We start from the raw sequence: 9,376 nt of genomic DNA, 5'->3' as shown, positions 1-9,376 counted from the left end.
CTCTCTCACTCTGTCACAAAAACATAAATAAATAAATAAAAATAAATAAATAAAATAAAAATACATTTTGTATTCCTCATTATGTAAGGGGACAAAAACTGCCCTTCTGCCTATGACAGGAGGAAATCCCAGTGGAAAAAGAAATGAAGAGATGCTTTCTGGCCTTCTATGTGCAGAAGGGACAAAGCTGTGCATGGAGAATCTAAATTGTCTTATGCTCCTGCCTACCATCAATGTGTTGTTCTTGCTCTGTTTTTTCCCCTTTTATGAACCTTGACTATGCCTCAGCTACTTAGAATTGCATAATGAAATAAAATTCTGCTCCAGCAACTGTCTGCACATGAACTGTTGTGGTATTAGTTTAAACAAAGATGGACTATAAGAAGAGTTCACAAATGCATAGGTAGTATTATCACCACAGGGATATTATTGGCTAGTCAAAAGTAATGGGCTGTGAAACTTAATTGAAACAAGATGTTAGTAAATTACCTAAGTTTGGAAAAATGAGCACATACAGAGAACATGTTACCTTAATAAGCGGATTAGAATGAAATGCTGGTATTCATATAGAAGAAGTACAGCCCATTGAGAGCATCTTGCCTCAAGTATGGCTTGTTCATATCACTTACTTTCAGAGCATCTCCTACTCATGGTCCATAAACAAACTGCATGGTATTTGCAATGTGCTAACTTTTCCCGTGAGGTATGATGAAGCTTCTTCGTGGACTCTTTGTTTATAGTGTCCTCTAACTATGCGGGGGTGAAAGTGCATGTTCTCCTTCTGTTCCGCAGGTGGTGAAGAGGAGGATTCTGTGAATAAACTGCATATTTACTGGCCAAGGGCAATGACTGCTTAACAACTTCTCCGATTTATCTGGGAGATATTTGCCAATAAATACAAACTAGGTTGAAGACTAGATTAAATCCAAGAAATAATTTTAATCACCGGAGACTATAAGTTTTAGTCATTTAACGTTGGTGGTTACACTAATGCTTTGTCCTCCGCATTGCTGTTGGATTTATTTTTCTAAACTGTACATGATATCATGACACTTCCATGCTCCAGAACCTTCGGTTTTCAAACCTTTCCTATTTTTCAAACCAAAGTTCAAAATGGCTGGCATACAAACCCTTGCACAATCTGACTGTTTCAAATCTGCGTTTCTTTCCTCCATTTGGGATCCCAATATGGAATCTGTGCAGTAGTCACAACAGGGGTCCAGCCATTCCTGTTTTTGTTTTTATTTTTTTTTTGAGACACTCTGTCGCCCAGTCTGGAGTTCAGTGGTCGGTTCACTGCAATCTCCGTCTCCTGGATTCAAGTGATTCTCCTGCCTCAGCCTCCTGAGTAGCTGGGACTATAGGGGTGCACCACCATGCCCGGCTAATTTTTTTGTATGTTTAGTAGAGATAGTGTTTTACCATGTTTGGCAAGCTGGCCTCAAACTCCTAATCTCAAGTGGGAGGCCCGCCTTGGCCTCCCAAAGTGCTGGGGATTACAGGCATGAGCCACTGCGCTTGGTCCAGCCACTCCTGTTTTGATGCACATTTTTTTTCTTCCTTGTTTCTAACTGTGGTGCTTCCTCTATCTAGACTGCCCTGCCACTTCACATGGATCACTCCCCTGAGTCTTTTAAGAATCACTCCAAGTAGGTTGAGGGTGTAGACAAAATGACTGCACTTGGAAACCCAGATTTAGGGAGTGAGTCGAGATCCTTGTCCTTTGATCTGTACATGAATGTCAGTTTGATACTTGCATGGGTCATTTGCAAATAGATACCTGCGCAGCTATCAGGATTCCCTCTTTCGAGGGTTGCCACCTGGATCCATAGGTTACAGGAGTAGACCTCTGGCAGCTGAATTTGTTCCATATGATCCACAGTTTGGGGGGCAACTGCTTGACACTCTGTAGAATTCTTTTTTCTGGAAATTTTAAACTGGGACCTAGGAAGAATTATGTCATACTCTGATATCACATGGTTAGAACCACAACTTAACACATTTAACAAGTGTGAAGCAGTTGTCCTAACTGTGAACCTGCAGAAGATACAGAGGAAATAAGTTTATGGAGAGAGAAAAGTATAACAAATCCATACGGAGTAGAGATGAGAGATGGAGAAAGAGACCTAGAAGCTTCCTAGGTGTTAATTTTAGTTCCTTGGCTACATTCTTGTCTTTGGAGTCTATGAAGTAACAGTGTATCCTTATAATAAATCCTTATCTTTTAATTTCTTTCCTTCTCACTTGCAGAGAATAGCATACTATGCTCATTTGACATGCAAATCACTTCTCCCGGTTTTAACAAATTTTTCACTTTCATCTTTGACCCTTACTTTTTTTTTTTTTTTTTTTTTGAGACAGGGTTTTTGCTCTGTTGCCCAGGCTGGAGTGCGATGGTGGGATCTCAGCTCACTGCAACCTCCACCTCCTGGGTTCAAGTGAGTCTCCTGCCTCAGCCTCTCAAGTATCTGGGATTACAGGTGCTCGGCACCATGCCCGGCTAATTTTGTATTTTTAGTAGAGACGAGGTTTCACCATATTGGCCAGGCTGGTCTCAAACTCCTGACCTCAGGTGATCCACCCACCTCAGCCTCCCAAAGTGCTGGGATTACAGGCATGAGCTACTGCACCCAGCTGATCTTTGACCCTTACTTTCTTCCCTGCAACCCCACTGCTGAACAGCATTCCATTGTGTGATTGATTATAATACAAGTTATTTATTCATGTTCCTGGGGATGGACATTTGGGTTACTTCCTTTTTTTTTTCCTTAGCTATTTTAAAGACAGCTGCTAAGAACATTCTTGTATATGTCTACAATCGTACACAAGTACATTTTGCTAATTTTAGGGCATACTACTTGGAGTGGAATTGCTGAGTTGGAGGTTATGTAAATGTTCAAGTTTACAAGATAATGTCAAATTCTCTTCCAAAGTTGTAATGGTTTACATTTTTCTGCCATTATTAACAGCCAATAATAATAACTAATACTTAACATTTATCGCATGTCAGGTAGTCACCCATGTGTAGAGTTTTTGTTTGTTTTTTTGACACAGGTTCTCACTCTGTCACCCAGGCTGGAGTGCAGTGGTGTGATCACAGCTCACCACAGCCTCCACCTCCTGGGCTCAAGTGATCCTCCCACCTCAGCCTCCCAAGTAGCTGGGATTATAGGAATATGGTACCACACGTGGCTACTTTGTAGAGACAGAGTCTCATCATGCTGCCCAGGCTGATCTCAAATTCCTGTGTTCAGTGGATCTGCCTGTCTTGGCCTCCCAAACTGTGGGACTATAGGTGTGAGGCACTGTGCCCAGCTCCATGTGGAGAGTTTGATGCTGCCCTACACTTGCATTCCTACGACAAATGCTATTTGAGCATGATGTACTTTTTTTTTTTTTTTTTGAGACAGAGTCTTGCTCTTTAGCCCAAGCTGGAGTGAAGTGGTAAGATCTCGGCTCACTGCAACCTCCGGCCCTCCAGGTTCAAGCAATTCCCCTGCCTCAGCCTCCTGAGTAGCTGGGACTACAGGTACCTGCCACCACACCCAGCTGATTTTTTTTTTTTTTTTTTTTTTGAGATGGAGTCTTGCTCTGTCACCAGGCTGGAGTGCAATGGCATGATCTTGGCTCACTGCAACCTCTGCCTCCTGGGTTCAAGCAATTCTCCTGCCTCAGCCTTCTGAGTAGCTGGGACTACAGGTGCACGCGACCATGCCCAGCTGATTTTTGTATTTTTAGTAGAGTTGGGATTTCACCATGTTGGCCAGGATGGTCTTGATCTCTTGACCTTGTGATCTGCCTGCCTCGGCCTCCCAAAGTGCTGGGATTACAGGCGTGAGCCACCGCACCCAGCCTAATTTTTTTTTAACTATGAAATATTTGTAACTTTCTGTTGGATTCAGATGGTTAATATTTTATTTCGATTTGTACATCCGTGCTCACAAGTGCAAAGGACCCATAATTTCCTTTTCTTGTTCTGACACTGTCTGGGTTAGAAATCAAATTATCCCAGCCTCAAGAAAGGAGGCTATCCTTCATTTTCTATTTTCTAGAATGATTCGCACATAAATGGTTATTTTCTGTTCCTTGAAAATTGCCAACTCAATAGTTAAACCACTTTGAGCAGGCCCTTTTATGTTGGGAGTGAGGTTGGGGATGTCCTTGATAATCACGTCAATTACTTTAAATTATTAGTCTCTTCAAATGTCTTTTCTTTCTTGTATTAATTTTGGGATTTTCTGATTTTTTCTTTTTTCAGAAATTTACCTCTTTTATGTAGGTTGTCAGATAGTTGCCATTTTATTTTATCATTTTTTTTTTGAGATGGAGTCTCGCTCTGTTGCCAGGCTGGAGTGCAGTGGTATGAACTCGGCTCACTGCAACCTCTGCCTCCTGGGTTCAAGCGATTCTCTTGCCTCAGCTTCCCGAGTAGCTGGGACTACAGGCGCCGGCCACCACACTCAGCTAATTTTTGTATTTTTAGTAGAGACGGGGTTTCACCATGTTGGCCAGGATGGTCTTGATCTCTTGACCTTGTGATCCGTCCACCTCTGCCTCCCAAAGTGCTGTGATTACAGGCATGAGCCACTGCGCCCAGCCTCATTTTATTATTTTATTGTTATGTTAAACTCTGTCGTGTTTGCATAGTATTTATTTTTCCATTTCATGATTTGGTGACTTCTTGTCTGCTGTTTTCTTCATTAGTTTTGTCAGTTCTTTTTTATGAAACAGCTTTAATTTTGTTGATGTTCTCTATTGTGTAATTGTTTTGGGTGTTCTCTTTAATTTCTGCCTTTATTTTTACGGATTTTTTTTCTTCCGTTTGTGACTTGTTACTTCTTTCTGATTTCTTTTCTTTTTCCTTTTTTTTTGAGACGGAGTCTCACTCTATTGCTCAGCTGGAGTGCAATGGTGCGATCTCGGCTCGCTGTGATCTCCGCCTCTCAGGTTCAAGCAATTCTCCTGCCTCAGCCTCCTGAGTAGCTGGGATTACAGGCACGCACCACCATGCCTGGTTAATTTTTGTATTTTTAGTAGAGATGAGTTTCACCATGTTGGCCAAGCTGGTCTCCAACTCCTGACCTTGTGATCTGCCCGCCTTGGCCTCCCAAAGTGCCGGGATTACAGGCATGAGCCACCGCTCCTGGCCTTGTTTTCTGATTTCTTACCTTCATTTGTTTTCAGGATTTGGTTTTTGCTTGTTTCTTTGTTTTCTTATCTTTCTGCTTGGAATCATTGTCCTCCAGACAGCTTCACAAATGTTCTTTCCCTCCTTCCAGATGCCATTTGAATGACACCCTCTCAGCCCTGCCTTGCCTGCCCACTCTATTTAAACTTGCCCCTCCTCCTCCCTCTCCATGCCCCTTCCCTGGGTTATTTTCTCTATAGCGTTTGTGTGTGCATTTTACTTCTATTTATTGTCTATTTCCTCCCAGTAGAATGAGAGTTCTTTTAATTTCGGTAAATTTATGGAATTGTTCAATCGTGATCGTGTCTAGAACATTTTCATCACCCCAAACAGTTTGCTGTGCCCCTTTACCATTAATTTCTGTTCTACTCCAGTCCTAGGCAACCACAGATCTGCATCTGTCTCCATAAATTTGGGAGATAGGAATTTTGACTGTTTTGTTCACTTCTGTACCCCCAATATCTAGAACACATCTGGCACATAATATGTGATCAATAAATATTTGTTAAGTGATTATTTCAAATAATTTTTTTTTTAATCGGGGGAAATTCAGCCCCCGATATTTCAACGTGGGTTCTTTTCTATTTCCCTAAGTGTCAGCCGGTCTGAGAAATAAAGGGAAAGAGTACAAAAGTGAGAAATTTTAAAGCCGGGTGTGGTGGCGGGCCCCTGTAATCCCAGTTACTTGGTAGGCTGAGGCAGGAGAATCACTTGAACCTGGAAGGCGGAGGTTGTGGTGAGCCGAGATCGCGCCATTACACTCCAGCCTGGGCAACAAGAGCAAAACTCTGTCTCAGAAAAAAAAAAAAAAATTGTTTACCCATCTGTTTATCTCTGTGATTTTGTTCATGGATGCTTTATATATTTTGGAGCTGTTGTTGCTCATATGGTTTGGATCTGTGCCCCTGCCTAAATTTCATGTTGAATTGTAATCCCCATTGTTGGAGGCGGGGCTTAGTGGGAGGTGATTGGATCATGGGTGTGGTTTCTAATGGTTTAGCAGCATCCCCCTAGTGCTGTCTTGTGATAGAGTTCTCACGAGATCTGGTTGTTTAAAAGTGTGTGGCACCTCCCCGCCCCCTTTTCCTCCTGCTCCAGCCATGTAAGATGTGCCTGCTTCCCCTTCACCTTCCATCATGATTGTAAGTTTCCGGAGGCCTCCCCAGGCATGCTTCCTGTACAGCCTGCAGAGCCTCTTTTCTTTATAAGCTACCCAGTCTCAGGTATTTATAGCAGTGCAAGAACTAATACAGTTGCTATATGTAATGTATTCATGATCTTTAAATCTTCCTGATCTATTGTTCCGTTTTTCAATATTTAATGTCCTCTTTATGATACTTTAACTTTGAGTCCTATTTTTTCTAATATTGAAGTTGTGGTCTGTGTTATCTTGTTGTTCCTATGCCTTCATCTTTTTCTACCTTTTTATGTTTTACCTGTCTATATCCTTTTTGTTTTAAGTGGGTCTGTTGTTATATAGTTTACACATTACTAGATCTTGTTAATTTAAAAAAACTCTGAAAGTTTTTATCTTCAGATTGATGAATTCAACTTTTATTTCTCTCTACTTTTTTGTCATTCATTTTTGCCACTTATTATATATATGTGTGTGTGCATATATATATACACACACACACACACATATATATACACACACATATATATATATATTTTTTTTTTGAGATGGAGTCTCGCTCTTTCATACAGGCTGGATTGCAGTGGCGCGCGACCTTGGCTCACTTCAACCTCCGCCTCCCAGGTTCAAGCGATTCTTCTACCTCAGCCTCCTGAGTAGCTGGGACTACAAGCATGTGCCACCATGCCCGTCTAATTTTTGTAATTTTAGTAGAGACGGGGTTTCGCCTTGTTGGCCAGGCTGCTCTCAAACTCCTGACCTCAGGTGATCCACCTGCCTTGGCCTCCCAAAGTGCTGGGATTACAGGTGTGAGCCACCGGCCTTGCCTTATTTTATGTTTTTTATACTCTAATTTTTTGGATATATCTCTTCTTTCCAGCTTTCCACTAGGTAGATTGAATTAAGACCTTTAATTATGTTTATTTTTCCCTATCACTTTTTTAAATGGATTAAAATATTTATCTTCTCTGCATCTAAGACAAGTCTAACAGCATCCCCTCTGTCTCCAACCAACCCTGCTTCCCTTCCCCAACATGCTGGTATCATCTAACTTTAGTTCTGAATTGTAATCATCTGGAGACAGAACAGCACCCTCCCCCAGCCTGTCCCCAGCACCAGATCCTAACCACTCTCTCTTTCTCCCTTGGAGGAAGGGGAGAAGAATTCTTGCAGCCTTTGTAGTTTCCTAGGTCCATACACTTTTTCTCTGTAGCATTTATTACCATCAGCCATCGTATATATTTTACTTATTTATTATCTGTGTTTCCCTACTAGAACATAGGTGTTAAAAATTTATAGAATTGTTCAATCATAATCCAGTTTTCCCGGGGCAGGGCTGGGCTGGGAGAGGGTAGCCAGCAGCCTTTGCTAGTTTGCCGACTTCTAAAGTTCCATCTTTCTGCTTGGGCTATTGCTATGGTCTGCATGTTTATGTTTCCCCCAAATTTGTACTTCGAAACTCTAATCCCTAAAGTAATGGTATTTGGAGATGGAGCCTGTGGGAGGTGATTAGGTCATGAGGGTGGAGCCCTTGTGATGGGATCAGTGCCCTTAAAAGAAGAGACATAAGAGGCTGAAATGGTGGCTTGCTCCTGTATTCTCCTGTAATCCCAGCACTTTGAGAGGCCAAGGTGAGAGGATTGCTTGAGCCCAGGAGTTTGAGAACAGCCTGGGCAATGTAGCGGTACCTCATCTCTACTGAAAAAAAAAAAAAAAAAAAGAAAATAGCCAGGTATGGTGCCACGTGCCTGTGGTCTCAGTTCCTCGGGAAATTGAGCCCGAGAAGTTGAGGCTGCAGGGAGCCATGATCTCACCATTGCACTCCAGCCTGGGTGACAGAGTGAGACCCTGTCTCAAAAACAAAAAACAAAAAACAACAAAAAAAAATTTAGATGTTATACTCACATCCAGAATATAAAAACAAAAGAAAAAACCAAACAAACAAATAATAATAATAATAATAATAATAATAATAATAATAATAAAGAAGAGGCTGGGCGCAGTGGCTCATGCCTGTAATCCCAGCACTTTGGGAGGCCTAGGCGGGTGGATCACCTGAGGTCGGGAGTTCAAGACCAGCCTGGCCAACATGATAACCTTGTCTCTACTAAAAATACAAAAAATTAGCTGGGCATGATGGCGGCCACCGGTAATCCCAGCTACTCAGGAGGCTGAGGCAGGAGAATCGTTTGAACCCAGGAGGCAGAGGTTGCAGTGAGCTGAGATCTCATCATTGCACTGCAGCATGGGCAACAAGAGCAAAACTCTGTCTCAGGTAAAAAAAAAAAAAAAAAAAAAAAAGACACAAAAGAGCTTGCTTGTCTTTCTCTGCTCTCCACTGTGTAAGGACACAGCAAGAGGACAGCCATCTGCAGATCAGGAAGCAAGCCCTCACCAGATACTGGACCGGCCACAACCTTCATCTTTGGCTTCTCTGCCTCCAGACCTATGAGAATTAAATGTTGTTTAAGCCATCCACCCTGTGGTATTTTTGTTATAGCAGCCTGAACTAAGATAGCTAGCTTGAGTTGGTTCTTGCTAATTTTATTTTATTTATTTATTTTTTAAGACTGAGTCTAGCTCTGTCACCCAGGTTGGAGTGTAGGGGTGTGATCTCGGCTCACTGCAAACTCCGCCTCCTGGGTTCAAGTGATTCTCCTGCTTCAGCCTCCTGAGCAGCTGGGACTAAAGGTGCCCACCACCGCTCTTAGCTAATGCTTGTATTTTTAGTAGAGATGGGGTTTCACCATGTTGGCCAGGCTGGTCTCGAACTCCTGACCTCAAGTGATCCACACGCCTTGGTCTCTCAAAGTGCTGGGATTATAGGCATGTGCCACCACACCTTGCCTGCTCTTGCTATTTTTAGGCACAAGGTCCTAAGAAAATATGTCAATAATTGTGCTATGAGAATTAAATTGAATATTTTAACAGGGTAAACTATATACTGTTTAAAAAGGACCCTCTTTAGAAATACATAAAATACTGCAATGGGGATGCAACCATCAAAATCTACAATGTGGGAAACTCTGTAGGACAAATTCTCCAGTTTTTTA

Source organism: Homo sapiens, chromosome 13, assembly GCF_000001405.40.
Source record: "Homo sapiens chromosome 13, GRCh38.p14 Primary Assembly".
Lineage (NCBI taxonomy): Eukaryota > Metazoa > Chordata > Mammalia > Primates > Hominidae > Homo > Homo sapiens.
This window is presented reverse-complemented; position numbering follows the sequence as displayed.